This window comes from Homo sapiens, chromosome 19 (assembly GCF_000001405.40).
Source record: "Homo sapiens chromosome 19, GRCh38.p14 Primary Assembly".
NCBI classification, from domain to species: domain Eukaryota; kingdom Metazoa; phylum Chordata; class Mammalia; order Primates; family Hominidae; genus Homo; species Homo sapiens.
Genome location: NC_000019.10, coordinates 4490970 through 4518645, shown reverse-complemented (window position 1 = coordinate 4518645; position 27676 = coordinate 4490970). Strand labels below are relative to the sequence as shown.

Below are 27676 nucleotides of genomic sequence, written 5' to 3'. Positions count from 1 at the left end.
AACAGGGGAAAGGTGCTGGGCCTGGGCCCATGCTGGGCTGGGCAGGTAGCCATGTGACCGTCCAGGCCACCTCCCCCGGGCCCATTGGCCGCCTGCCGCTGCTGGCTGGGCCTGCGCCTGCCCCGGACCCTATAAGGCCAGGGAGCTGAGGGTAGAGCCAGCTGCCAGCCGGGCCGGTCCGTCCTCCAGGGGACCCCGCGCAGTCCAGGTGAGCGGGGCCGCGTCTGCTTCGGTGACACCAGGGTGAGGCCAGGCCTGCAGGTGGGTGTCGGGCTGCTCAGGCTTTCAGTGGGGAGTGGGTGTGGGATGGGAGGCTAGGGAACCCCCATTCACGCACCTTCTCTGCCCCCTTCCAGCTTCTCACGTTCTCACTATGTCTGCTCCAGACGAAGGGAGACGGGATCCCCCCAAACCGAAGGGCAAGGTAAAGAGGGGAAATGGGGCAGATTCTTGCTGGGGCCTGGAGATGCCCCAGAGCCGGGGAAGGTGACCTCCACAGTCCTGGGGTCTCGAATCTGGAGAGGTGCTTCCCTGGTGGGCTGGTGGGGGCGGTCTGGGAGCCATGATGCCAATCCCTTCCTTTCTGACCCAAGCTGGAGGCGGGGGACCCACGCAGACCTCGACACCTTCCCCAGCAAGTGACCTTGGGCCGGCCTCAGCTCCGCCCCTCTCTGAGCCTCAGTTTCCCCATCTGTGCAGTGGGGATCCTGGAAGGAAAAGGTCTTTGGAGATCGGGTAGACGATCTTTTCCTCTGTGCATGGGAGGCAGGCTGAGTCTGCCCATTGCCCAGGTGTGGAAATTGAGGCTGAGTGGCTGAAACACTTTCCTGAGGTCACCCAGGAGCAAGGGGCCGGGGCGGCATTGGGCTGATCAATCGATGCTTCCTCTGACCCGTTCCTGCCGAGGCTTGGCCTGCTCATCCTGCACACCCCCCGCCCCCATGCAGACCCTGGGCAGCTTCTTTGGGTCCCTGCCTGGCTTCAGCTCTGCCCGGAACCTGGTGGCCAACGCACATAGCTCGGCGAGAGCCCGGCCGGCCGCTGACCCCACAGGAGCGCCTGCTGCCGAGGCTGCCCAACCACAGGCTCAGGGTGAGTGGCTGGCCCAGCTGGGGGCGTGGGGGGACTCTACACATGGACCTGGGAGAAGGAGCTCCCCGGGCAGGGACTTCCAGCCATTTGGGGAGTCCTCCATATTTGTCTGTGTGCTCTCATCAGACACTAGGACATCTTGTGGTGGATGGGGAAACTGAGGCATAAATATGGGGGGTGAGTGGCCGAAGGTGGCTTTCAACCCAGCCTGTCTCCCTGCAATGCCCCCCCACTCAGTCCCTCGGCCGTTCCCCCACCCTGCACTCCGTTTCTGATGCACCATGGCCCAGGCTGGGTGCTCTGCCCATCTGAGCTCATCAGAGTGAGATCCAGACTCCCAGGGAGGAGCAACAGCTCCCCTGGGGTCACACAGCCCAGGGGCTCCCCAGCCTCCTGTGGCTCAGCTTGGGCGATCAGGGACGGTGACAGGGAACCCAGGGTTGGGGCAGCCGCCTGAGCTGGGCCTCCCTCTGGGCCCAGAGCCCCAGGCAGCTGACTTCTGCTCCACATGCCTTGGCCTGGCAATAGGCAGCAGGCAGCTGCGGTGGGGGCGGGGCGGGCTGGGCAAGGGGCTGTTCCCCCATGCCAGGCTATATGAACCCCGGGACTCAGGGTGGGTGTCCACCCAGCAGAGGAAGTTCCACAGAGCCCTACTTCAGGGAACAGCGGCCCTGGGCTTGGGGGGAGCCCCCAGCGGGGTTGGGGGGTGACCAGGTCTGGCTGGTAGCCGTGGATGTCACCTCCTGCTGTCCCTGGCGGGGTAGCTGAAACATTCCTGACCTTTTAGGCTGTGCCTGGCTATTGTGCAATGGGCAGCCGGGTAGATGGTTCTAACTGCATCCCTCACTCTCCCTGACCGGCCCCTGTCCCCACAGTGGCTGCCCACCCAGAGCAGACGGCCCCATGGACGGAGAAGGAGCTGCAACCTTCGGAAAAGGTGAGAGGATGTGCAGGGCAGGGTCTGATGTGGCAGGAGCCCTGGGGGTGCCCCCTCCTGCGACATTTCAGTTCCTGCTATCTGGGGGGCTGCTCCCTCCTGGGACATTTCAGTTCCTGCTATCTGGGGGGCTGCTGTGGGCCTGAGGGAAGGCAGACAGCCTGGGGATCCCAGGCGGAGCTTCCCCTCTGAGCCTCTATTTCCACATCTGTGAAATGGGTGCAGTGCTACCCCACTCTAATCACGTAAGGTTCCAGTCTACACAGGGCTGTGCCTGGCAAGATGAGACCAAAGCGACAGCAGCGTAAGCACTTTATTTCTTCTACTTTTATTTTTTGAGATGCAGTTTTGCTGTTTCACCCAGGCTGGAGTGCAGTGGCACAATCTCAGTTCACTGCAACCTCTGCCTCCCAGGTTCAAGCGATTCTCCTGCCTCAACCTCCTGAGTAGCTGGGACTACAAGTGCTCACCGCCATGCCCAGCTAATTTTTGTATTTTTAGTAGATACGGGGTTTCACCATGTTGGTTTCACCAGGCTGGTCTCCAACTCCTGACCTCAAGTGATCCACCCACCTCAGCCTCCCAAAGTGCTGGGATTACAGGCATTAGCCACTGCGCCTGGCAAGAGGATCTGTTTTAATCAGCATTTTCCAGATGAGGATATTAGCTCAGAGAGGGCATGTGGCTTGCCTAAGGCCACACAGCGAGTGTCGGGAGCAGGAGAGGGTAAAAAGCTGGGACTTGAACCTGGGTCTCTCCAACTACAGGGCCCAAGGTGCCCACCTGAGCCAAAGCTGGGAGATGTGTTCTGAGAATACAATTTCCGGGCTTCTCAACCTCAGTACTGTGGATATTTGGGGTTGGATCATTCTCTGGGGTGGGGCCATCCTGGGCACTGCAGGGTGCCGAGCAGCATCCCTGGTCTCCACCTACTCCATGCCAGGAGCCTCCCCAAGTTGTGACAACTACAGATGTCTCCAGACATCACCCAGTGCCCCCTGGGGGCAGAATCACCCAGTTGAAAACTACTGAATTAAAATAGCACCTTGGCCGGGCACGGTGGTTCACACCTGTAATCCCAACACTTTGGGAGGCTGAGGCAGGCAGATCAGTTGAGCTCAGGAGTTTGAGACCAGCCTGGCCAACATGGTGAAACCTCATCTCTACTAAAAATACAAAAATTAGCTGGGCATGGTGGTGCACGCCTGTAATACCAGCTACTCAGGAGGCTGAGGCAGAAAAATTACTGAACCCAGGAGGCGGAGACTGCAGTGAGCCGAGATCTCGCCACTGCACTCCAGTCTGGGTGACAGAGTGAGACTCTGTTTCAAAAAACAAACAAACAAAAAAAGTAGCACCTCACAGGTACACCCGAGAGTTAGAACTCCTAGGCCATCATCATCTTCATTCATTTTTGTGTTTTTTAATTTTTTTTTATCTTTTGAGACAGTCTCGCTCTGTCACCCAGGCTGGAGGGCAATGGCACGATCTCGGCTCACTGCAATCTCTGCCTCCTGGGTTCAAGCGATTCTCCTGCCTCAGCCTCCAGAGTAGCTGGGATTACAGGTGCCTGCCACCATGCCTGGCTAATTTTTGTATTTTTAGTAGAGACAGGGTTTCGCCATGTTGGTCAGGCTGGTCTCGAACTCTTGACCTCAGGTGATCCACCTGCCTCGGCCTCCCAAAGTGCTGGGATTACAGGCGTGAGCCACCGTGCCCGGCCTGTTTTTTTTTTTAAAGATGGGGTCTCACCGTTGCCCAGGCTGCTCTTAAACTCGTGGGCTCAAGCAATCCTCCTGCCTTAGCCACCCATAGTGCTGGGATTATAGGCATGAGCCACTGTGCCCAGCCTGAATATATTATTATTATTATCATTATCATTATTATTTGAGACAGAGTTTCGCTCTTTCACCCAGGCTGGAGTGCAGTGGCGCGATCTCGGCTCACTGCAAGCTCCGCCTTCCCGGGTTCATGCCATTCTCCTGCCTCAGCCTCCCGAGTAGCTGGGACTACAGGCGCCCACCACCACACCCGGCTAATTTTTTGTATTTTTTTAGTAGAGACAGGGTTTCACTGTGTTAGCCAGGATGGTCTCGATCTCCTGACCTCGTGATCTGCCCGCCTCGGCCTCCCAAAGTGCTGGGATTACAGGCGTATATCATTATTTTTGAGACAGAATCTCATGTTGTTGCCCAGGCTGGAGTACAGTGGTACGATCATATCTCACTATTGCCTCAACCTCCTGGGCTCAAGCAATCCTCCCACCTCAGCCTCCCAAATAGCTGGGACTACAGGTGTGCCCCCCGCCCAGCCAGTTGTTAAAATTTTGTAGAGACTGGGTCTTGTTTGGTTGCCCAGGTTGATCTTAAACTCCTGGGCTCAAGTGATCCTCCCACCTTGGCCTCCCAACATGCTAGGATTGCAGGCATCAGCCATCACACCCAGCCTGGATATAATGATTTTAATAAGCAATTTAGTCTCCCTGGTGTCCCTGGGACGCCAGGCTCAACATTTGCCATGAATGGAGAATAAGCAAGAGGAACAGAAATGTAACTGTAGGACCTGCGTTGAGTCCAGGCCTGGGGACCCTGGCTGAGTCCAAGCCTAGGACATGCTGTCATGGACGAGGCCTGCCTGCAGCCGGGAAAGGGGGTGCGTGAGAATGGAAGAGGCTGGCGCTGTGAGCTCATGAGGACTTCATCCCGGAGAGCCAGGGTGCCACACCACAGCCCGATGAATGTCTGGCTGACCGGGGTCGGGGTGAGGAGGAAGCAGCTTGCTTTTTGAGGAGGTGGGGCCTCTGGGTGCCTGCAGTTCCTTGCCCCAAAGCACACTAGGGGGCTGGGCTGGCAGACATCGGGGTGGAGTACACCTCTCAGTCCTTCTCTTGATCCACCTGTGTCCTTTCTCAGCAGATGGTGTCCGGGGCCAAAGACCTGGTGTGTTCCAAGATGTCCAGGGCCAAGGATGCCGTGTCCTCCGGGGTGGCCAGCGTGGTGGACGTGGCTAAGGGAGTGGTCCAGGGAGGCCTGGACACCACTCGGTCTGCACTTACGGGCACCAAGGAGGTGGTGTCCAGCGGGGTCACAGGGGCCATGGACATGGCTAAGGGGGCCGTCCAAGGGGGTCTGGACACCTCGAAGGCTGTCCTCACCGGCACCAAGGACACGGTGTCCACTGGGCTCACGGGGGCAGTGAATGTGGCCAAAGGGACCGTACAGGCCGGTGTGGACACCACCAAGACTGTGCTGACCGGCACCAAAGACACAGTGACTACTGGGGTCATGGGGGCAGTGAACTTGGCCAAAGGGACTGTCCAGACTGGCGTGGAAACCTCCAAGGCTGTGCTGACCGGCACCAAAGATGCTGTGTCCACTGGGCTCACAGGGGCAGTGAATGTGGCCAGAGGAAGCATTCAGACCGGTGTGGACACCAGTAAGACTGTCCTAACAGGTACCAAGGACACCGTCTGTAGTGGGGTGACTGGTGCCATGAATGTGGCCAAAGGAACCATCCAGACCGGCGTGGACACCAGTAAGACTGTCCTAACAGGTACCAAGGACACCGTCTGTAGTGGGGTGACTGGTGCCATGAATGTGGCCAAAGGAACCATCCAGACCGGCGTGGACACCAGTAAGACTGTCCTAACAGGTACCAAGGACACCGTCTGTAGTGGGGTGACTGGTGCCATGAATGTGGCCAAAGGAACCATCCAGACCGGCGTGGACACCACCAAGACTGTCCTAACTGGCACCAAGAACACTGTCTGCAGTGGGGTGACCGGTGCCGTGAACTTGGCCAAAGAGGCCATCCAGGGGGGCCTGGATACCACCAAGTCTATGGTCATGGGTACGAAAGACACGATGTCCACTGGGCTCACAGGGGCAGCGAATGTGGCCAAGGGGGCCATGCAAACTGGGCTGAACACAACCCAAAATATCGCAACAGGTACAAAGGACACCGTCTGCAGTGGGGTGACTGGTGCCATGAATTTGGCCAGAGGAACCATCCAGACAGGCGTGGACACCACCAAGATCGTTCTAACTGGTACCAAGGACACTGTCTGCAGTGGGGTCACCGGTGCTGCGAATGTGGCCAAAGGGGCCGTCCAGGGCGGCCTGGACACTACAAAGTCTGTCCTGACTGGCACTAAAGATGCTGTGTCCACTGGGCTCACAGGGGCTGTGAACGTGGCCAAAGGGACCGTCCAGACCGGCGTAGACACCACCAAGACTGTCCTAACCGGCACCAAGGACACCGTCTGCAGTGGGGTGACCAGTGCTGTGAACGTGGCCAAAGGGGCCGTCCAGGGGGGCCTGGACACCACCAAGTCTGTGGTCATAGGTACAAAAGACACGATGTCCACTGGGCTCACGGGGGCAGCGAATGTGGCCAAGGGGGCTGTCCAGACAGGTGTAGACACAGCCAAGACCGTGCTGACCGGCACCAAGGACACAGTGACTACTGGGCTCGTGGGGGCAGTGAATGTCGCCAAAGGGACCGTCCAGACAGGCATGGACACCACCAAAACTGTCCTAACCGGTACCAAGGACACCATCTACAGTGGGGTCACCAGTGCCGTGAACGTGGCCAAGGGGGCTGTGCAAACTGGGCTGAAAACGACCCAAAATATCGCGACAGGTACAAAGAACACCTTTGGCAGTGGGGTGACCAGTGCTGTGAATGTGGCCAAAGGGGCTGCCCAGACAGGTGTAGACACGGCCAAGACCGTGCTGACCGGCACCAAGGACACAGTCACTACTGGGCTCATGGGGGCAGTGAATGTCGCCAAAGGGACTGTCCAGACCAGTGTGGACACCACCAAGACTGTCCTAACTGGTACCAAGGACACCGTCTGCAGTGGGGTGACCGGTGCTGCGAATGTGGCCAAAGGGGCCATCCAAGGGGGCCTGGACACTACAAAGTCTGTCCTGACTGGCACTAAAGATGCTGTGTCCACTGGGCTCACAGGGGCTGTGAAGTTGGCCAAAGGGACTGTCCAGACCGGCATGGACACCACCAAGACTGTGTTAACTGGTACCAAGGATGCTGTGTGCAGTGGGGTGACCGGTGCTGCGAATGTGGCCAAGGGGGCCGTCCAGATGGGTGTAGACACGGCCAAGACCGTGCTGACCGGTACCAAGGACACTGTCTGCAGTGGGGTCACCGGTGCTGCGAACGTGGCCAAGGGTGCTGTGCAAACTGGGCTGAAAACGACCCAAAATATCGCAACAGGTACAAAGAACACCCTTGGCAGTGGGGTGACCGGTGCTGCGAAAGTGGCCAAAGGGGCCGTCCAGGGGGGCCTGGACACTACAAAGTCTGTCCTGACTGGCACTAAAGATGCCGTGTCCACTGGGCTCACAGGGGCTGTGAACTTGGCCAAAGGGACTGTCCAGACCGGCGTGGACACCAGCAAGACTGTCCTGACCGGTACCAAGGACACCGTCTGCAGTGGAGTCACTGGTGCCGTAAATGTGGCCAAAGGGACCGTCCAGACAGGTGTGGACACAGCCAAGACGGTGCTGAGTGGCGCTAAGGATGCAGTGACTACTGGAGTCACGGGGGCAGTGAATGTGGCCAAAGGAACCGTGCAGACCGGCGTGGACGCCTCCAAGGCTGTGCTTATGGGTACCAAGGACACTGTCTTCAGTGGGGTTACCGGTGCCATGAGCATGGCCAAAGGGGCCGTCCAGGGGGGCCTGGACACCACCAAGACAGTGCTGACCGGAACCAAAGACGCAGTGTCCGCTGGGCTCATGGGGTCAGGGAACGTGGCGACAGGGGCCACCCACACTGGCCTCAGCACCTTCCAGAACTGGTTACCTAGTACCCCCGCCACCTCCTGGGGTGGACTCACCAGTTCCAGGACCACAGACAATGGTGGGGAGCAGACTGCCCTGAGCCCCCAAGAGGCCCCGTTCTCTGGCATCTCCACGCCCCCGGATGTGCTCAGTGTAGGCCCGGAGCCTGCCTGGGAAGCCGCAGCCACTACCAAGGGCCTTGCGACTGACGTGGCGACGTTCACCCAAGGGGCCGCCCCAGGCAGGGAGGACACGGGGCTTTTGGCCACCACACACGGCCCCGAAGAAGCCCCACGCTTGGCAATGCTGCAGAATGAGTTGGAGGGGCTGGGGGACATCTTCCACCCCATGAATGCGGAGGAGCAAGGTGAGGGGACGCCTGGGTTCATGGGTCCCTGAGGCAGGCACAGCTGCTAGCAGGTCCTTGACTGTTTTGTTTTTTTTTTTGAGACAGAGTCGTGCTCTGTTGCCCAGGCTGGAGTGCAGTGGCGTGATCTCGGTTCACTGCAAGCTCCGCCTCCCGGGTTCACGCCATCCTCCTGCCTCAGCCTCCCAAACAGCTGGGACTACAGGCGCCCACCACCACACCCGGCTAATTTTTTGTATTTTTAGTAGAGACAGGGTTTCACCGTGTTAGCCAGGATGGTCTCGATCTCTTGACCTCGTGATCCGCCCGCCTCAGCTTCCCAAGTGCTGAGATTGCAGGCGTGAGCCACCACGCCCAGCTGGGCCCTTGACTTTTTTTTTAAAAATGTATTTATTTGGTTTGTTTCAGATGGGGGTCTCCCTGTGTTGCCCAGGCTGGTCTCAAGCTTGTGGGCTCAAACGATCCTCCTGCCTCAGCCTCCCAAAGTGTTGGGATTACACGTGAGAGCACCTGGCCCTTTTTCATTTTTTTAGAGACAAGGTCTTGCTCTGTCACCCACACTGGAGTGCAGTGGTGCGTTCACTACAGCCTCAATCTCTCGGGCTCAAGTGATCCTCCTGCTCCAGCCTCAAGTAGCTAGGACCACCATGCCCGGCTATGTATTTTTTTGTATGTTTTTTGTCTCTCTATGTTGCCCAGGCTGGTCTCAAACTCCTGGGTTCAAGTGATCCTCCAGCCTCAGCCTCCCAAAGTGCTGGGATTACAGGCATGAGCCACCATACCCAGCTTCATTTGACTTTTATTTTTACTTATTTATTTTTGAGGCAGAGTCTCACTCTTGTCGCCCAGGCTGGAGTCCAGTGGCAGTGTCAGCACACTGCAACCTCCACACTTCCTGGGTTCAAGCAATTCTCCTGCTCAGCCTCCCGAGTAGCTGCGATTATAGGCGCCCGCCACCACACCCGGCTAATTATTATTATTTTATATTTTTAGTAGAGATAAGGTTTCACCATGTTGGCCAGGCTGGTCTCGAGCTCCTGATCCCAGGTGATCCACCCGCCTTGGCCTCCCAATGTGCTGTGATTACGGGCGTGAGCCACCGCGCCTGGCCTCACTTAACTTTTTTTTTTTTTTTGAGACGGAGTCTCGCACTCTTACCCAGGCTGGAGTGCAGTGGCTCCATCTCGGCTCACTGCAAGCTCCGCCTCCCGGGTTCACGCCATTCTCCTGCCTCAGCCTCCCGAGTAGCTGGGACTACAGGCACCCGCCACCACGCCCGGCTAATTTTTTGTATTTTTTTAGTAGAGACGGGGTTTCACCGTGTTAGCCAGGATGGTCTCGATCTCCTGACCTCGTGATCTGCCCGCCTCGGCCTCCCAGAGTGCTGGGATCACAGGCGGGAACCGCCGCGCCCGGCCCTCACTTGACTTTTATAAAGCCCTGATGCCCTGAGGGGCTTCCGGGACTGAGCGGTGCGCCTTCCTTTCCAGCTCAGCTGGCTGCCTCCCAGCCTGGGCCAAAGGTGCTGTCGGCGGAACAGGGGAGCTACTTCGTTCGTTTAGGTGACCTGGGTCCCAGCTTCCGCCAGCGGGCATTTGAACACGCGGTGAGCCACCTGCAGCACGGCCAGTTCCAAGCCAGGGACACTCTGGCCCAGCTCCAGGACTGCTTCAGGCTGGTAAGAGCTTCCCCCTGCTGCTGCCCCGTCCCCAGGGCACTTCTTAGAACCCCTGCCCAGGACTCACCCAGCTGCAGATACTGACTGAGCACCTAGGAGATGATGCTGTCAGCGTCACCAATGGTCATGGCTCTGTACTCATGGGGCTTGCCTCCTGGCAAGGGGGACGGAGCTAGATCAGATCCTTAAAGACAGCGGGTAGGCTGGGTGCGGTGGCTCACGCCTGTAACCCCAGCAATTTGGGAGGCCGAGGCGGGTGGGTCACTTGAGGTCAGGAGTTCGAGACCAGCCTGACCAACACAGAGAAACCCCGTCTCTACTAAAAATACAAAAATTGGCTGGGAGTGGTGGCAGGCGCCTGTAATCCCAGCTACTTGGGAGGCTGAGGCAGGAGAATCTGGGAGGCGAGGTTGAACCCGGGAGGCGGAGGTTGCAGTGAGCCAAGATGGTGCCACTGCACTCCAGCCTGGGCGACAGAGCAAGACTCTGTCTCAAAAAAATAAAGACGGTGGGGACACAAAGACAGCAAAACAATCTGTGTGCAGAGGGGGATGTGGGCTGGGCAGGAAGGCCGTCCCTCTGGGCCCTGTCCTGACCGATGGGGAGACAGCTCTGCAAAGCCCCCAAAAGCAGGGACAGGACAGCAAGCTACCGGGGAGCAAGCTGGGTGTGTTCGGGGAATGGAAAGGCGGCGCTGTGGCTGGGTAAAGTGAAGCCAGGATGGGATCCAGGGAGCCCGCAGGGCCTGGGGCTGCAACGCACGCAGGAAAGGACCCAACGCAACATGACTCGGATGCATCCAGGGGTCATGCACCCTGGCCAGAGTCGTCCACCCCTCCCACTGGCCCCGCTCTCTTCCTCTGGCCTAGGTTCTCCCCTTTGGCAATGTGGACGTTGGGGCCGGATCGTGCTCTGGGGTGGGATCATCCTGGTCCCTGCAGGGAGCTGAGCAGCGTCCCTGGCCTCCAGTCTCCCCGTCCCCAGTCCTGAGGGCCAACATTTCCTCTAGAAGCTGTTGTGCAGCCCGGGAGGCAGAAATCTCACAGGACTGCTCTAGGGGTTTATGTTTTGGAGACAGTGAGACAGGGTCTTGCTCTGCCACCCAGGCTGGACTACAGTGGCTTGATCATGGCCCACTGCAGCTTCAACCTACTGGGGTCAAGAGATCCTCCCACCTCAGCCTCCCAAGCAGCTGGACAACTGGCATGCACCACCACGCCCAGCTTAGTATTTGTTGTTGTATTTTTAGTAGAGATTAGATTTTGCTATGTTGCCCAGGCTGGTCTTAAACTCCTGGGTTCAAGTGATCCTCCTGCCTCAGCCTCTGGGTGCACACTACCAAACCTGGTTAAATTTTTTGTAGAGATGGGGCCTCCCTATGTAGCCCAGGCTGGTCTTGAGCTTCTGCGCTCCCGCGATCCTCTTGCCTTGGCCTCCCAAAGTGCTGGGATGACAGGCGTGAGCCACCGTGCCCAGCAGTCACAGGTTTTACATGTTGGTGGACAGCAGTCCCACCCCGGCGGGCCGTGAGAAACCTTGAGATGCCGCCCTCGGTCAGGATTCCTGGCGTGCAGCCTAGGCCACTGTGTTTTCCATCAACATCCGGGGTTTGTGACAAGCCGCAGTTTGAGGGTCTAACCCAGGGTTCTCAGTGTGGATGACCTGCCTCCAGGGGACACTAGTCCATGTCTGGGGACATCTGTGGTTGTCACAACTGGGGGAAGCCCCTGGTGGAGAGTAGGGACACTGCTCAGCACCCTGCAGTGCCCAGGGTGGCCCCACCCCAGAGAACCATCTAGCCCCCGTGTCCACAGTGCCAAGGGCAAGTCTGTCCTAGGGACCCTCAGGACACCTCATGTCACTGTGGCCACCCCCAGATGCACAGTCGCTGCCGTGCCTCTGGCACGCGGTACAATGGCGCAGTTGGAAGGCGTTCCTGTAAACGCCATGGAGGAATGAAGGAATGGGCCCACCCTCGCAGCACGCTGCAAGCGGCTGATCACAAAGCATTTTCCCACCTTTGAATCCTCACAGCAAAGTAGCCTGGGCCAGAACTCAGCCCAGGCACTCTTCAGAAGGGGAGAAGGAGGCCACAGGAAGAGAAGAGCTTTGCTCAGGGCCACACGTGAAGGATGCTGGGCTGGGAAATGGGATGTGGTGTGTGACTCATCATGTCTCACTTGTTCCTTTAAGTGCTACTGAAGACCCTGGATATCCAGGCCTGCCCTTGGGGGGTGGGGGGCGCCATGGTTGGGGAAGACAATTCACAGATGAATATATAGGGCGTCGCGTTGGATGATGCTTGGAAAATGGAACATGTACCAGGATAAGGAAGTGGCTGTGCTGGGGCTGGTCACCCTGAAGAGGGGACACTTGAAGTCAGGTCTAAATGACAGAGAGGGAGTGCGTCAGAATGGGCAGGAGTGTGATCTGAGCGGAGGGCACGGCCCGTGCAAAGGCCCTGGGGCAGGACTGTCCCGGCATGTTGGAGGAATAGGAAGGAGGCCTGGGAGGCTGGAGCCGAGTGAGGAGGGGATGGGGCAGGTTGGGCCGGACCTGGGCTTCGACCCCAAGGGAGTTGGGAGCCCTGGAGGGCTCTGGGCAGAGGAGCGGCCTGATCCAAGGTGGGTTTCATTTAAAAGGATCACTCTGATGGGGGAGGTCAGGCCACCGGGTGGGGGCGAGGGCCAGAGGAGACAGTGGGACGTAAACCCAGGCAAGTGCTGCCGGGCCTCAGGAGTCACGCTGTGGTGGTGAGAAGTAGCTGGGCTCTGGGTGTTTCGAAGTCAGAGCTGCCCGGGTCCGATGTGGGAGGTGAGAGAAGACCCCAAGAGACCCCTGAGGCTTGTAACCTGAGCAGACAAGGAGAGCAGGGGGGCTGAGGGGAGGCCGGGCGGGTTGCAGAGTGGATATTAGGAGCCTGGCCTTGGACAGGGTGAGGGGAGATGCCTGGTGGGCACCGAGGGGACGCGTCTGCATATGCAGCTGGCTTCAGGTCTCCAGCACTGGCGCGGCGAGGGCTGGGAGGGCGACAGCAGTCTGGAGTCGATATTTTGACGGCGTGCCGCATCCCTACCAGCCATTGAGATGATGAGGAAGATGGGGCCCTGTGGACAGGGTGGGGCGTGGGTGCCACGTGCTGGGGACACAGCAACAACGAGGACAGAGTCCTGAGTGTTCCCCTGCCAGGGGCGGATAAACACCAAGTCAATGAACACCAAAGCCGCACGCTGTGCTCCCGAGGAGAGGGGCAGATGTGACGGGAGGGACTGGGGCTGCCACACCATGGGCCAGGAAGGTCTCACCAAGGGTCACCTGGAGCTGAGGCCGAACGCGGACCTTGTGAAGGGCCCGGGAAGCAGGCTCCCGGCTGAGTGGGCAGTGTGTGCAAAGGCCCTGGGGCAGAAGCCTGCTGGAGTGGCCGGAGGGCAGAATGGAGCCAGTGTGGCCTCAGTGGAGACAGCAGTGGGGTGCCATGGGAGATGAGGCCAGAGGTGTCCCAGGGGCCAGCCCACCAAGGCCATGGTGAGGAGCTGGGTTTTATCTTAAGGGTACTGGGCAGCCACAGGTTTAGGGGTGAGGAGTGACACGACCCCACAGACACTGTGTTACGTGCACTCCCTGATGACCTCATGGGGAAGTTTGAACTATTGCCTCTTTCTGCAAGACAACACGCCCACTGTGGTACAACTGACTTGGAACTCGTGGCCTTTCTCCCAGGACTGTGAATGTGCCCAGGTCCCTGGGGGAGGGGGAGGTGGGGGTTGTGAAAGGTCATTTGCCAAGAAGCCATCATTTCCCCACTGTACTCTCTCTCCAGATTGAAAAGGCCCAGCAGGCTCCAGAAGGGCAGCCACGTCTGGACCAGGGCTCAGGTGCCAGTGCGGAGGACGCTGCTGTCCAGGAGGTGGGTCTGGCACAGGGCTAGGGTCCCCCCACCCCGCCCATGGGTCTCCACTCACCTTGCGCCTTCCTCCCACAGGAGCGGGATGCCGGGGTTCTGTCCAGGGTCTGCGGCCTTCTCCGGCAGCTGCACACGGCCTACAGTGGCCTGGTCTCCAGCCTCCAGGGCCTGCCCGCCGAGCTCCAGCAGCCAGTGGGGCGGGCGCGGCACAGCCTCTGTGAGCTCTATGGCATCGTGGCCTCAGCTGGCTCTGTAGAGGAGCTGCCCGCAGAGCGGCTGGTGCAGAGCCGCGAGGGTGTGCACCAGGCTTGGCAGGGGTTAGAGCAGCTGCTGGAGGGCCTACAGCACAATCCCCCGCTCAGCTGGCTGGTAGGGCCCTTCGCCTTGCCCGCTGGCGGGCAGTAGCTGTAGGAGCCTGCAGGCCCGGCGCGGGGTCGCCCTGCTCTGTCCAGGGAGGAGCTGCCTCAGAACTTTCTCCCCGCCCCCAAACCTGGATCGGTTCCCTAAAGCCCTAGACCTTTGGGGCTGCAGCTGGCTGAGCGCCGAGGGGCTGCGGAGGCAGTGACCTTCTTAACTGAGCCACCCCACGCCCTGCTCCGGGCCTGCCTGCATCTCCCACCTCCTCCCCAGCGCTGCCTGCCCCTCTCGGAGCCTGGGGTCACTCAGACCACCAGCCAAGAGCCTTCCCTTGAAGTCCCCAAGCAAGCACTGCAATTAGGAAAGAGAAAAAGCAGCGTGCCCAGCCTGGAAGGGCATCTGTTTGCCCCGCTAGCAACCCTTTTATATCTAGCAGGGCTCTTCCAGTCCTGCAGCACGGGCCCCCAGCTATCAGCGGTGCAGGCAGTGCTGTGGCATCCCAGGCTCCGGGCAGCTCCGTTCTCATGCTGAAAGTGGGTCTCCGGCCTTAGCACACACACCTTGAGGGTCTTAAGAACCACATTCCCTCATAGTAGAAAGTACTAGAAAAAGCGACACTGCCATCATCATCCCAAGGCAGGCTGCTACTGCCTTTGCTGACCCCCGGGGTGGCCTCACGGTGGGGACAAAGCTGCCAGGAGCCACAGCAGCCACAGCTGGGGCTTTGCACCAGCCTGGCTTGAGACTGAGCAGTTTGCAGGGGGTGGGGGGTGCAAAAAACAAGCAAACAGGCTGCTGCTGCCTCCAGCTGCCCACCACAGGCCTGCCCCAGGCACCTGGGGCTCTGAGGCCCCTGGGGAGGCTGGGCCCAGCAGCTGCCCCTGGAGAACACAGACAAAGGACTTCCCCGCAGGGAACTGTGCCCTATGGAGGGATCAGACAGGGCTGGGAACAGCCACAGAGGCTGCGTGCCTATGGCACAGCCCTTCCTCCGCCGCACACTCCCCCTGGGTCCTCAGGCCCACCCAAGCGCCGGGCTGCAGAGGAAGCGGGGCTGGGGAGGCTGCAGGCATCAGAGACACTGGTGGTGGCGGACCCGGCCGCCGGGCCCCGTGCTCTCAGGCTAGCCCAGGTCGTGGAGGCTGGCAGGCTCAGGTCGGGTGTGAGACGTGCCGTGGCTGCGCTCAGTCCAGCGGGGAGGAGCCGTTCAGCCCGGCCTCCCCAGGAAGCCATATCCCCACTCACCCGGTAAGAGAACCTTGTCGTCCCCTTTCCATGCTCTCCTAGGACACGAGCCCAGGAACCCCAGACCCAGGGGGAGGAAGGGTGGAGGGGCCCCAGGGGTCACCGTGTGCACCAGGGGCCGTGAGGGGCCGGGGCATTCAGCTCAGCTCTGAACCGGGGAAGCTGGCACGGCAAGGACTGCCTCAGGTGACGGGCCGTGAGAGGGGACGGGTCAGGAGCCTTCCCAAGCCTTCTCCTCAGCCCGACACCCATGGCCATCGGAGGCTAGGATGCCAGACACAGCCATTTGCAGAAATCAGGCACAGTGACTGCAGCTCACGTCCAGCCAACCAAGCATGGGGCCGCAGCTCAGGAAGTCCCTTCCCGCCACACCACAGCCTAATTCTTACTGGGACGGAGGCAACTCGGCTACGCTGGGCAGGACGACAAACACGAGACGCCACTGTGGAATGAGCAACTTCGGAGCACGGGGTGACTTGCTTGGGACCGTGCCCACGTGACAGCCCCTTATGCAGAGGAGGAAAGAGAAGCCCCGAGTGGGAGGGGAACCTGTCCAAAGTCACACGGTGTGTGGGTGACACAGCTGGGGTGAGTCGAGGCTGGCCCCTGAGGCCCATGCTCCCTGAACGCTGGAGACCACTGTCGGCTAGCAGCGGCTCTCAGGGAAGGCCTGGTCTCCACCCTCCCAGCCTAGCCTCGCGGACCCTCGTCCTCCCCACATCGGACCTGCTCACCTGCCTGGACCCTGGGCTGCCAGATGCAGGAAGCATCAAACCCCCCAGCCTCGTGGGTGCGGGGCAGGGCGCAGGCAGCACAGCTTAGATGCCCTGGTTTGTCCCTCTTGTCTCCTGGGAAGAGCTTGCTCCCGCCCAGCTCTCCTGCCACTGGCCTTTCAGGGTTGGGCTGGGCCCAGAGTGCCTTTTAGTCGCTTCTCACGGTGGCCTGATGGCTCAACCCAGTCCCAAACGGGCCCAGTGACACTGCCGCCTGCGCCCCAGCTCAGGCCCCCACTGCACCAGCAATGCTAGAAAACCAAGCCAATAAAAGTGATTTCTTTTTTCATTAAAAAACCATTTATAGTCATTTCATGTTGGTTGGAAATCACAGAAATTAGGCAGGAAAAAAAAACCCAAGGGAACAAATACAAACAGCACAGCGTTCCCCACAGTTCTCTGCTCTGCTCTCCTGCGAGCCGGGGAAGGAGAGGGGCAGCCTGAGCTCGGGCGGGGGCTGGGCCTGGCTGCCCGCGGCTCAGCTCTCCTCGTCCAGGGCCTCCGAGTCCCCCCGTGCCCTCTCGCGCTCCTGCCGGTCGCTCCCAGGCCTGTCCAGGTCGGGACCCTCCCGTACGCTGCTGGTGGGAACAGCAAAGGCGGTGTGAGGATGCCCTCCCGCCCCTGCCCTGCCTGTAGGGCGGTTGGGTGGGATGGGCACCGAGGAGTGTACCCCCGTTGTGGCACCTGAGGCTCGAGTGCCGCCCTCCTATCTGCCTGTCTTCTGCCACTAGAGACCACAACCATCTCCAGGGTCCCCACGCTGGCGCCAGCCAGGCATAGCACAAGGCAGCTGCTGGGTAAGTGAGTGACTCCACTGAGCCTTGTACCAGACAGCAGCCCACAGTGATGGGCACAGGCACCGTCAGATAGCCGGGTGCCCGTGCTCGGGGCCTACCTACCTGGGCCACCCTGGAGGCTCGGCAAGAAGCCACCTTCCCAGGAGGCCAGGGGCAGGCAGCTCAAAGCCCTGGAGCTGCCTCTCTGTAGGGGCCGCCGGAAGTGCCAGCCAGCGGGGCCCTGGGGTCAGCTGTGAAGGTGGGAGGCCCGAGTAAGGACGACATCCCTGGGACCCATCCCAGAGGGACTGGCACAGGAGGAGCGGCTCGGACCCAGGGTGCGCGTCACACCGCTGCCGCTCAGGAGTCCAAACCCCACGGCCCGGGACACTCACTCGTGCAGGTCTTCAGAGGAGCCACACCTTGGCCCCTCCTCCGAGTCCCGACCCTCCTCGTGCTCCTTGTCCTCTGCGCTCTCCCCCTTCTGTGATGTGGCCTCGCCATTCACTGGGGCTGAGAGATCTGGGTGGGACAGAGGGGTCACAGGACACTGCTGGGCTCCAGCTGGGCACCCCAGAACCCTTGCCTGTCAAGGACTGGACCAGGGGCCAAGCTGAGCGCCGTGGGTGACACATGCCCATCCACCTGGACCCCAGCACCTGCTGTCCAGTCTGCAAGCTCCTGACATGGGATGCTGCAGCCAGCCCCAGCCCGAGCCACACTGGCCTGCAGAACTGGGGGCCCAAGAAATGAGGGAACGTGGGCAGCCCTGAGAAAAGCCCACAGCAGCCTGGGAAAGACAAAGGAAGACAAGGTCGGGCACGGGGGCTCACAATCCCAGCACGTGGGAGGCCGAGACGTGAGGCTCACTTGAGCCCAGGAGTTCAAGACCAGCCTGAGTAACATGCCAGCAACCCTGTCTCTACAAAAAATACAAAAATTAGCACGTCCTGGCAGGGCGCAGTGGCTCACGCCTGTAATCCCAGCACTTTGGGAGGCCGAGGAGGGCGGATCATGAGGTCCAGAGATTGACACCATCCTGGATAACACGGTGAAACCCCATCTCTACTAAAAAATACAAAATATTAGCCTGGTGTGGTGTTGGGTGCCTGTAGTCCCAGCTCCTCGGGAGGCTGAGGCAGGAGAATGGCGTGAACCCAGGAGGCGGAGCTTGCAGTGAGCCAAGATCACGCTACTGCACTCCAGCCTGGGGGACAGAGCAAGACTCCGTCTCAAAAAAAAAAAAAAAAAAAAAAAAAATTAGCAGGGCATAGTGGTGTAGGCCTACAATCCCAGCTCCTCAGGAGGCTGAGGTGGAGGATGGCTTGCGCCCAGGAAGTCAAGGTTGCAGTGAGCTGTGATTGTACCACTGCACTCCAGCCTGGGGGACAGAGCGAGACCCCATCTCAGAAAAAAAAGAAAAAAGAAAAAAAAGACACTAGCCTTCGGCTGCCCCCTGGGCCGCAAAGCCCCATCCCAAGCTCGCCCATCCCATCTCCAAAGGGCTGCTCTGAGCACCTGTAATGGGGCCATGTCAGCCCAGTAGCCCCACAGCCAGCAGCCCCGAGGGTCACACCTCATCTCCTGTCGGCCCACCAGGCAAGCAAGGGCACCTGAGGCCTCCGCCCCCGAGCCTCCACCGACTGCCTCTCTGAACAATGCCCCCACTCTTTGCCCCCGCTGCACAGAGCCACCCCCCTCTCTGGGCGTCCCAGGGTGGGAGACGGTGGAGGCGTGTGCTGTCATGCACTGTCCCCGTCACCCCTCTGGCGTGAGCCCCAAGTTACCTGCATGCTGGCTGCCTGGCACACGGTAGGACCTGAATGCCCCTCACTGGCTGCCCCAGGGATTAAAGCCGGGTCTGCACGGAGACCCCAACAGGACATGACACTCTGGCAGGTTTGGGGCAGAGAGTAGAGCTGTACTCCCCTTCTGGAATGTTCTGCAAAGCATCTGTTTCTTCAGCTGAGGAGACTGAGGTACAGGGCCCACCCCACCCGCCCCTCACCGGTGCTGGGCTTGTCCTCCGCCTTCTCCTGGGGGGCCTCCTCCCCGGCCAGCTCCTCCCCGGCCAGCTTCTCCTCGGCCTTCTCCTTCTCCATCCCAGCCTTGTTCACTTTCTGCACCGCCTCGATCTTTGGGCCGAGGACCCGCGACTTGAGCCGGGTATAGACTTCTGCTGCCTTCTCCATTACGTCCTTGTTCGCTTTGTAACGGCGAATCTGGCCACCAAGAGAAGAGGCCTGGCTCACCCAAGTGCAGCGGCCCTAGCCCCGGCTCTGAACCCCTCGCCCCAGCAATGCGCCCCTCCCGCAGCCCCTCCCGGGAGCACAGCTCTGTGCAGCAGGCATTTCTTTTTTTTTTTTTGAGACAGAGTCTCGCCCTGTCACCCAGGCTAGAGTGCAGTGGCGCGATCTCGGCTCACTGCAACCTCCGCCTCCCAGCTTCAAGCGATTCTCCTGCCTCAGCCTCCTGAGTAGCTGGGATTACAGGCGTGCGCCACCACACCTGGCTAATTTTTGTATCTTTAGTAGAGATGGGGTTTCACCATGTTGGTCAGGATGGTCTTGATCTCCTGACCTCGTGATCCGCCTGCCTCAGCCTCCCAAAGTGCTGGGATTACAGGCGTGAGCCACCACTCCTGGCAAGCACCAGGCATTTCTACCCAGCAGCCCACGGCCTCCTCGCTGACCCAGGGCTGTCCCGACAGGAACCTGCTGGGGGCCTGGGCTCCCGGGCAGGCACTTGCTCCCAGCTCCCCCGACTGCACCCTGCGCCTCTGATTCCCCCGCCATACCTTCTTCAAGGTGGCCACCACGTCTGTGTTCTTCTGGAGGATCTGAGAGGTCACCTGCAGGGTTCCCAGCTCCTCTAGGGCATTCAGGCACCTCTTCACGTCCTGCAGGGTGGGGTGGGAGTGAGGGAGACGGCCTGGCCAAGGGATCCCCAGGGGTCCCAGGGCCCCGATGGGTGGAGGAAGACATCCTGGGCTCTCCTTGAGGGGAGCTGTATCTGCAGAACAGCTCCCCTCAGCCCCCGTCCAGTTGACGGGGAACTCCAGGGATAGCCAGATACTTGGGGTCCCAGGTACGTGGGGGTTGGTCCTGGGGGCCTCCACACACCACCTGCCGGGAAAGCTGGGTGCTGCATGTCAGGACCAGCTCCCCCAGGGCCCTTGGCCAGGAGACCCCATGCGCTCACTAGCAACCGGAACAGACTCCTGGCCCACCCAACTGCAGGACCCCGGCTTTGCCTCAGTTTCCCGAGACATCTAAGGGAGCCTGGCAGGGAGGTGGCAGCGGGGACTGCTTGGCTCACAGGCCCTGAGGGTCTTACCGGGCTGTCGACCTTTAGGGCAAACTTGATCTCACTGTGCAGCTTCTGCAGCTTCTCCTCCACGGAGGGCTCTGGGCCAGGAGAGAGAGCACCGTGTGGGCCCAGGCAGGGCCACAGGGGGCCAGCTGTTCAAGGGCAGGAGCCTGAGAGCCTCTGGAGGATTTGTCATGGGGGCCCCAGGTCTGCAGGCTCAGCCCCCACCCCTGGAGGCACCGCCGGCCAGGCCGGCCGAGGATGTGCTGAGCACCCTCTCTAGGGACAGGCGGGACAGGCCAGCCACGCCACGGCTGTCCCCGTTCCCCTCAGTGAACTCAGTGTGGGCAGTGCTGGGCAGCCAGGCCTCACCTTTCTTCTTCTCTACCTTCCTGTCCATCGAGAAGCCCTCGGACCGCTTCCGGGTCCGCTCCACCTTCACGGGCCTGTGGAGAAGTGCTCCCCTCAGTCGGGCCCCGTCACCGGCACTCTGCCACTGAGGGGCTGGCGCCTGAAGGGGTGGACCCAAACCCACTGCAAAGGAAACCTTTGGGAGGCCCTGGGAGCTAAGCCGGGAAACGGGAGGCGGGGAGGCCCTGCCACAGCCTAGGCCTAGGGCAGACCAGGGCAGCCACAGGCTCGAGCTGCCCAAAGATACAAGCCTTTTCCCGAGTTCTCATGAAATCCCAGGATTCTTTTCCTCGTTCACATGGCCAAGGGCTGGCTTTGTCTACCAGAGTCAGCGAGCTAGGAAAAGGCCCTCAAGGGTGACACGCGTGCAGGAGAGAGGCCCATTGCTGAGGCTCGGTGCCATGTGCTGCTCTGTACCCCGCCACTGCCATACCGGCCTGCCGAATTCTCATGGGCAGGTTTGCCCACTCAAGGCCATTTAGAAAGTGGGCTGGGGGACCAAGCACGGTGGCTCACGCCTGTAATCCCAGCACTTTGGGAGGCCGAGGCGGGGGGATCATGAGTTTAGGAGATAGAGACCATCCTGGCCAACACGGTGAAGCCCCGTCTCTACTAAAAATACAAAAAATTAGCCGGGTGTGGTGGCACACACCTGTAGTCCCAGCTACTTTGGAGGCTGAGCTAGGAAAATCGCTTGAACCCAGGAGGCAGAGGTTGCAGTGAGCTGAGATGGCGCCACTGCACTCCAGCCTGGGCCACAGAGCAAGCCCAAGACTCTGTCTCAAAAAAAAACAAAAACAAAAACAAAAACGTGGGCTGCAGCCAGGCACGGTGGCTCACACTTGTAATCCCAGCACTTTGGGAGGCTGAGGCGGGCAGATCACGGGGTCAGGAGATCGAGACCAGCCTGGCCAACATGATGAAACCCCGTGTCTACTAAAGCAACAAAAATTAGCCAGGCGTGGTGGCGGGTGCCTGTAATCCCAGCTACTCGGGAGGGCTGAGGCAGGAGAATCGCTTGAACCCGGGAGGCGGAGGTTGCAGTGAGCTGAGATCACGCCATTGCACTCCAGCCTGTGCAAAAGAGCAAGAACAAGACTCCATCTCAAAAAAAAAAAAAAAAGTGAGCTGGGAGACAGGCTCTGTCTGCCCACCACAGGGGGACCAAGATGCAAACCCCTAGGCCGGGGTGCAGTTTCTCCCTCCTCCTCTGCTTGTGGACATTGGGGATGGACTGTTCTCTGGGATGGGTCATCCTGGGCACTACAGGGCCCTCAGCAGCGTCCCCAGCCTCCACCCGCTCCATGCCAGGAGCACCCCCCAGTCATGACAACCACAGATGTCCCCGGACGTGGCCGTGTCTCTGGAGGCGGGATCGCCCTGGAGGAGACCCCTGGGCTGGGCAAAGATCCCACTCCCGCAGCAGCGATTCCTACGCAGCCCACACAACCCAAGGACCAGGAACTTCAACCGGGTCCGGCTCCAAGGCTGAACTCAGAGGTGGGGCTGCCCCTGTGAGGGGTGAGGGTTGTGGGGTGATGCGGGGTGCGGGGCCCCCAGGGTGTGGAGGGGCAGAGCAGGGCTCACTTGGCTTGTTGCTTCTCCTCGGGCCGCACTCTCTTCTCCTTCTGGCCAGGTTTCCTGGCGGGCTCTGTGCTTGAGGACTGCGGCTTCTTCGCTGATTTCTTGGCCTATAGCAGTCAGGAAGGGCGCGCTGGAGCAGTGGGAAGAGGGGATTACCCAGACCCCTAGCCCATCCCACTACCAGGAGATGCAGCTCGACCCTTTCTGTCGCCCTCCACACTGTTTGAAGGTGCTGGGGCAGGATGGGAGAGGAGGGAGGACCCAGTGTCCGGTCCTGAGTGGATCGTGGGGTTCTTGGAGCCCAGGCCCCATTCAGTGGAGGAACAGCCCCCTTCACTCCTCCTGCCCAGCAGTCCTGGGCTGTGGCTGAAACGCCTCCTGCACCAGGAGTTCGGTGCCCTTTCTGTGATGAAGGGAGTGACAGAGAGAGAACACGGCGCTGTTCGTGCTTTCCCCAAAGAAGGCAGGCCTGGCTGAGGGGCACCAGCACGTGGGCCCCAGGCACTCAGTCTAGGTGAGACTCTGGATTCAGGCCACATTGCCTGAATCTCCACAAGGGTAGAGGGCGTGACAGGGCCCGCAGCACCACACGTGGTATAGGAGAGTCCTGACAGTCACCACCCTAGGAGGCCTCCTACCTGCTCCCACGCTCACCTGCAAGCTGTACCCCATGGCAGCCAGAGGGCACCCGAGAGCACCCGAGTGAGGGCCTGTCCCTACCCTGTCCAGTGCCCTCCATGGCTCCCACCTCCCTCAGGGTCAAAGCCCAAATCCTCCCTGCAGCCCACATGGCCCTACCCGGCCTGCTCTGTCCGTTCCCCACCGCCCTCCTTTTCCCTCTCTCCCCTCCTCCCTCCACTCCAGCCCCAGAGGCCACCTCGCTGTTCCTCCAGCACGCCAGGCGCAGTCCTCTGGGCCTGTGTGTGAGCTGCTTCTCCTGCCTAGAATGTATCCCCTCCCAGGAGTCTTCGTAGATCCCCTCCCTTCATTCGGAGCCTATTTTTTTTTTTTTTTTTTTTTTTTGAGATGGAGTCTCGCTCTGGCCCAGGCTGGAGTGCAGTGGCACAATCTTGGCTCGCTGCAACCTCTGCCTCCCAGGTTCACACCATTCTCCTGCCTCAGCCTCCTGAGTAGCTGGGACTACAGGCACCTGCCACAACGCCTGGCTAATTTTTTTGTATTTTTAGTAGAGACAGGGTTTCACCGTGTTAGCCAGGCTGGTCTTGATCTCCTCACCTCGTGATCCACCCGCCTTGGCCTCCCAGAGTGCTGGGATTACAGGCGTGAGCCACTGCGCCCAGCCCATTCGGAGCCTTTTACTTAAACCCAAACGCAAGCCTTTGGAGTCTACTCACACCTTCAGGGTCTACTCTATTTAAAAGAGAAACCCCCCACCCCACTTTACTCTTCTCCTTAGCACCGAAAACTCCGGACAGCACGCACTACCCTCATGTCATCTGTACAGCTCCTCCCTCCTTTGTTTTGTTTTGAGACAGGGTCTTGCTGTGTGGCCCAGGCTGGAGTGCAGTGGATTGATGACAGCTCACTGCAGCCTCCAACTCCTGGGCTCAAGCAATCCTCCTGCCTCAGCCTCCTGAGCAGCCGGGACTATACAGGCGCACACCACCACGCCCAGCTAATTTTTTAAGGTTTTTATAGAGACAGGGTCTCTCTATCTTGCCCAGGCTGGTCTCGAGCTGGACTCAAGTAATCGTCCCACTTCAGCTGCCCAAAGTGCTGGGATAACAGGCGTGAGCCACCAAGCCCGGCCCCCTCCCTCCCATGAATGTCCCCTCCTCCAGGGCAGGAGTTTCTGGGCCCACGCACTGCTTTCTTGATGGGTCCCGGAACCTGGGATACTGCCTCCTACCTAGTAGATGCTCCATAAACGTGTGGAGTGAAGGCAGGGACTCCCGGCGCCCTCCCGGCTCACCTCTCTCTCCAGCTCGGCCTCGGGCTCGGAGTCAGAGGAGGACGGGGGACCCCGGCCCCGGCCCTTGCGTCCCCGCTTCTTGACGGGCTCATCGTCCTCCCTGAGCTCGTCCCCGCTGCTGCCGCCGCTGCCCCGCTCAGCCTCCCCGCGGTCGGCCCGCTCGCGCCTCCGCTCCTTCTCCTCCTTCTCCTGCTCCCGCAGGCGCCGCAGCTCCTCCTCCTGCTCTCGCCGCCGCCGGGCCTCCAGCTCGCGCCTCCGCGCCTCGTCCCGCCGCTTCCACTCACTGATGCGGTCCACCTCGTCGCTGTCACTGGAGGCGGAGGGGGCGGTTGGGGACCTCCGTTCCTCCCTCAGGAGCCCGCCCTGCCCCTCAGCCGATGGAGGAGCCGCCAGAGGGGACCCCAGCCCCAGCACCCACCTGTCACTGCTGGAGCTGGACGGAGGCCGTTCAGGCTTCGGTTTCCGCCCTCGCGGCTTCGGGAGAGGCTTCTCCGCTACAGGAAGAGGAGGAGGGGGTGACCTTCCCTTCCAGGGCTCCAAGGTGACCAGGGGACTGCCTGGGAGCGCCCCGGCAGGGGCCAGGCCAAGAGATGTGCGAGCACGAGGGCCCTACCTGGCTTCCTGCCCCTCGGAGGCTTCTTCACAGACACATCGGAGTCGGAGGAGGAGGAGGAAGAGGAGGAGGAGGACGCCGACCGCGCCATGGCCACCGGCTCAGGCTTGGCCCCGTCCGAATCGGCCTTGGAGTCGGAGTCGGAGGCTGATGGCGCCTTCTGGGGAGAAGCAGGGACAGGCGTGAGCATCAGGAGCCCCACCGTGAGAAGCGGGGCGCACCAGGCCAGAGGAGGCTCCCGCACCCCTGCAGCCGCCAGGCTCTGCGGGCCTCGGCTCAGGGCCCGGCTCCGAATCCCCTCCCACCCACAAAACCCACCTCCACCCCAAGTGAAAACCGGGATCCCAGGCGGCCCTGGGCACGCCGGGCAGCTGCTGGCCCTTCCCCTCATCTTCCTCAGTGAACCGGGTACATCAGAAGCCCGGGTTTCCCAGTGGGGACATCTTTTTCTTTATGCAAAATCTTGTGCGGAGGCCACATCAGACAAGCTGCCGTGCTCTACCGCCTCCACCCGAGTACCCTGCCAAACACACACGCCACACACAGACACCACACACACACCACACACACACCACACACAGACAACACACACACCACACACACACACAGACAACACACATACCACACAGATACCACACACCACACCACACACACCGCACAGACACAGACAACACACACACCACGCACACACCACACACAGACAACACACACCACACAGACACAGATAACACACACACCACACACAGACAACACACACACCACACACCACACAGATAACACACACACACCACACACAGACAACACACACACCACACAGATACCACACACCACACACAGATAACACACACGCACCACACACAACCACACACACACTACACACAGACACCACACACCACAGACAACTCACACGCACCACACACACACACCACACACACAGATACACACCACACAGACACCACACACACACCACAGATAACACACACCACACCACACACACCACACACACACAGACAACACACACACCACACAGATAACACACACAGACCACACATAACACACAGACCAGAAACACACACCAGACACACCATAGACACAGACACACCAGACACACAAACACCCAACACACATACACCACACACACCACACACCACACACAGACAACACATACCACACACCACAGACAACACACATACCAGACACACACACCACACAGACAACACACACAAACAAAACACACACCATACACAGATAACACACAGACAACACACATACCACAAACCATACACATGGACACACCAGACACACAAACACACACAACACAGACACCACACACAGACACACAAACACAGACACATAGATACATGAACAGTATGCACACATGGACACACAGGCACACACACAGGCACCACATATACTCACATAGGAACACAGAGGCACAACACATAGACGCAGAGGAGAGGTACAGCACACACACACACAGGCATACAGGCACAGGGACACAGGCACCAGAAACACACACACAGGCACGACATGTGCACACACGACACACACATCACACATGCACAATCTACACACACACTGCACACATACACACCTACATGGTCACAAACATGCATACACACAAGTACACACACACACATGCACGTCGACACACGTGCACAGAGACAGAACACACACACACAATCCGCTCATATACACACTGGCACACACCTCTCTCCTCTCTTCTGTGTCCCTCTCGCGCTCTTGCTTTCTCACTCTCTCACTCTCATGCAGGCGCGTCAGGACTGCTTCCCTCCCTTCTGATGCCAGCATCCCAGAATGCCCCTTTCCAAACCAGATGGTGGGCTCCTGGAGGCAGTGCGGCCATAACGAGGTGCCACGCTCAGGGCAGAGGCGGTCCCCTCGGGTACCCTGCAGTCCGTGTCCCACCCCCTCCAGAAATGGCCCGCCCTGCCCTGGGGACAGCACTGGAGACCGCAGAGGTGCCCCACGAGTGGGCATGGGAAACAAAGTCAAGTGCACGCTACCTTTTTTTTCCGTCCCCCCAGAGGGCCCCTCCGTGGCGCCCGGACCGCTGCTTTCTTCTCAGGTGTGAAGTCCTGGGGGAGAGAAGTGAGCTGAACTGGGGCCCACTGGCAGCCACCACGCTTCCCTGCCATCCCAAGGAGCCACTGGCCCACCTGGTCGCTGGTCTTCTCCGACTCAGATGAGCTTTCCGAGTTCTCCTCTTCGGATGGGGACACGCTGGCCTGATCCAGGTCGCTGGAGGCCTTTCGGGCTCGTTTCGAGACCGACATCTGGAAGGGGAACGGCCTGAATGCTCAGTGATGGGAAGGCCGGGCTCCTGGCAGGAAGCCCCCAGCTGACTGCCCACCACCCACGACAGCTGAGCTCTGGAACCTCTCTGGCGGGCCAGGAACCCTCTGAGAACCTGATCAAACCAGGGATCTTGAACCTTGAGGACATTATGCTTGGTGAAAGAAGCCAGTCACAAAAAGACAAACTCTTATAGGAGGTCCCTAGGGCCATCAGACTCACAGAGACAGAAAGTAGGATGAGGGGCACCAGGGCTGCGCCGGGGGGGGTGGGGGGGTGGGGGGGTGGGGGGGTGGGTGGTGGGAGTGAGTGTTTCATGGGACAGCATTTCAGCTTGGGAAGACGAGAAAGTTCTGGAGATGATGGTGGTGATGGTTGCACAACCACGTGAATGTGCTTAATGCTGCTGAACGGGGCACTTAAAAATGGCTAATTTTGGCCAGGCACGGTGGCTCACACCTGTAATCCCAGCACTTTGGGAGGCTGAGGCGAGCAGATCACCTGAGGTCGGGAGTTTGAGACCAGCCTGACCAACATGGAGAAACCCCATCTCTACTGAAAAACAAAATTAGCTGGG

At 59.9% G+C, this 27676-nt stretch overlaps 2 protein-coding genes across 16 annotated transcripts in view; one reads left to right on the top strand and one right to left on the bottom strand.

The window, feature by feature from the left end:
* Positions 1-159: 159 nt before the first annotated feature.
* PLIN4 (perilipin 4) lies at positions 160-16454 on the top strand. Of its 9 annotated transcripts, none has more exons than XM_017027193.2 (9): positions 160-208; positions 357-424; positions 948-1092; positions 1968-2029; positions 4607-4789; positions 4942-8200; positions 9691-9878; positions 13699-13785; positions 13861-16454. In XM_017027193.2, the coding sequence occupies exons 2-9, from the start codon at positions 374-376 to the stop codon at positions 14185-14187; spliced, it is 4302 nt and encodes a 1433-aa protein (XP_016882682.1). In that variant the 5' UTR covers positions 160-208; positions 357-373; the 3' UTR covers positions 14188-16454. The 9 variants fall into 9 exon arrangements, with proteins under 9 accessions (XP_016882682.1, XP_016882683.1, XP_011526535.1 ...); XM_017027194.2 differs by having other exon boundaries at positions 160-243; XM_011528233.3 differs by having other exon boundaries at positions 160-261; positions 4945-8200.
* HDGFL2 (HDGF like 2) overlaps positions 16439-27676 on the bottom strand; it is a 29911-nt gene continuing 18673 nt past the window's right edge. For 2 of the 7 annotated variants that reach the window (NM_001001520.3, NM_001348169.2), the window contains exons 5-16: positions 26964-27080; positions 26811-26882; positions 24784-24943; positions 24589-24664; positions 24171-24480; positions 22241-22344; positions 20615-20688; positions 20270-20340; positions 19731-19832; positions 18942-19155; positions 17329-17455; positions 16439-16735 (exon numbers count right to left, since the gene is read on the bottom strand). In NM_001001520.3, the coding sequence (NP_001001520.1) occupies positions 16636-16735; positions 17329-17455; positions 18942-19155; positions 19731-19832; positions 20270-20340; positions 20615-20688; positions 22241-22344; positions 24171-24480; positions 24589-24664; positions 24784-24943; positions 26811-26882; positions 26964-27080 (1527 nt within the window). In that variant the 3' untranslated portion in view covers positions 16439-16635. The remainder of the gene's footprint in view (positions 16736-17328; positions 17456-18941; positions 19156-19730; positions 19833-20269; positions 20341-20614; positions 20689-22240; positions 22345-24170; positions 24481-24588; positions 24665-24783; positions 24944-26810; positions 26883-26963; positions 27081-27676) is intronic. The other 5 variants (NM_032631.4, XM_011528377.4, XM_047439547.1 and 2 more) reach the window with 3 other exon arrangements.

Excerpts from the sequence above, each read along its gene's own strand:
- PLIN4 (XM_017027193.2), top strand. The coding sequence starts at position 374 with ATGTCTGCTCCAGACGAAGGGAGACGGGATCCCCCCAAACCGAAGGGC. Across the intron at positions 4,790-4,941 it reads TCTGGCTGACCGGGGTCGGG|CAGATGGTGTCCGGGGCCAA; the intron begins GTGAGGAGGAAG and ends GTCCTTTCTCAG. Across the intron at positions 13,786-13,860 it reads AGGACGCTGCTGTCCAGGAG|GAGCGGGATGCCGGGGTTCT; the intron begins GTGGGTCTGGCA and ends TTCCTCCCACAG.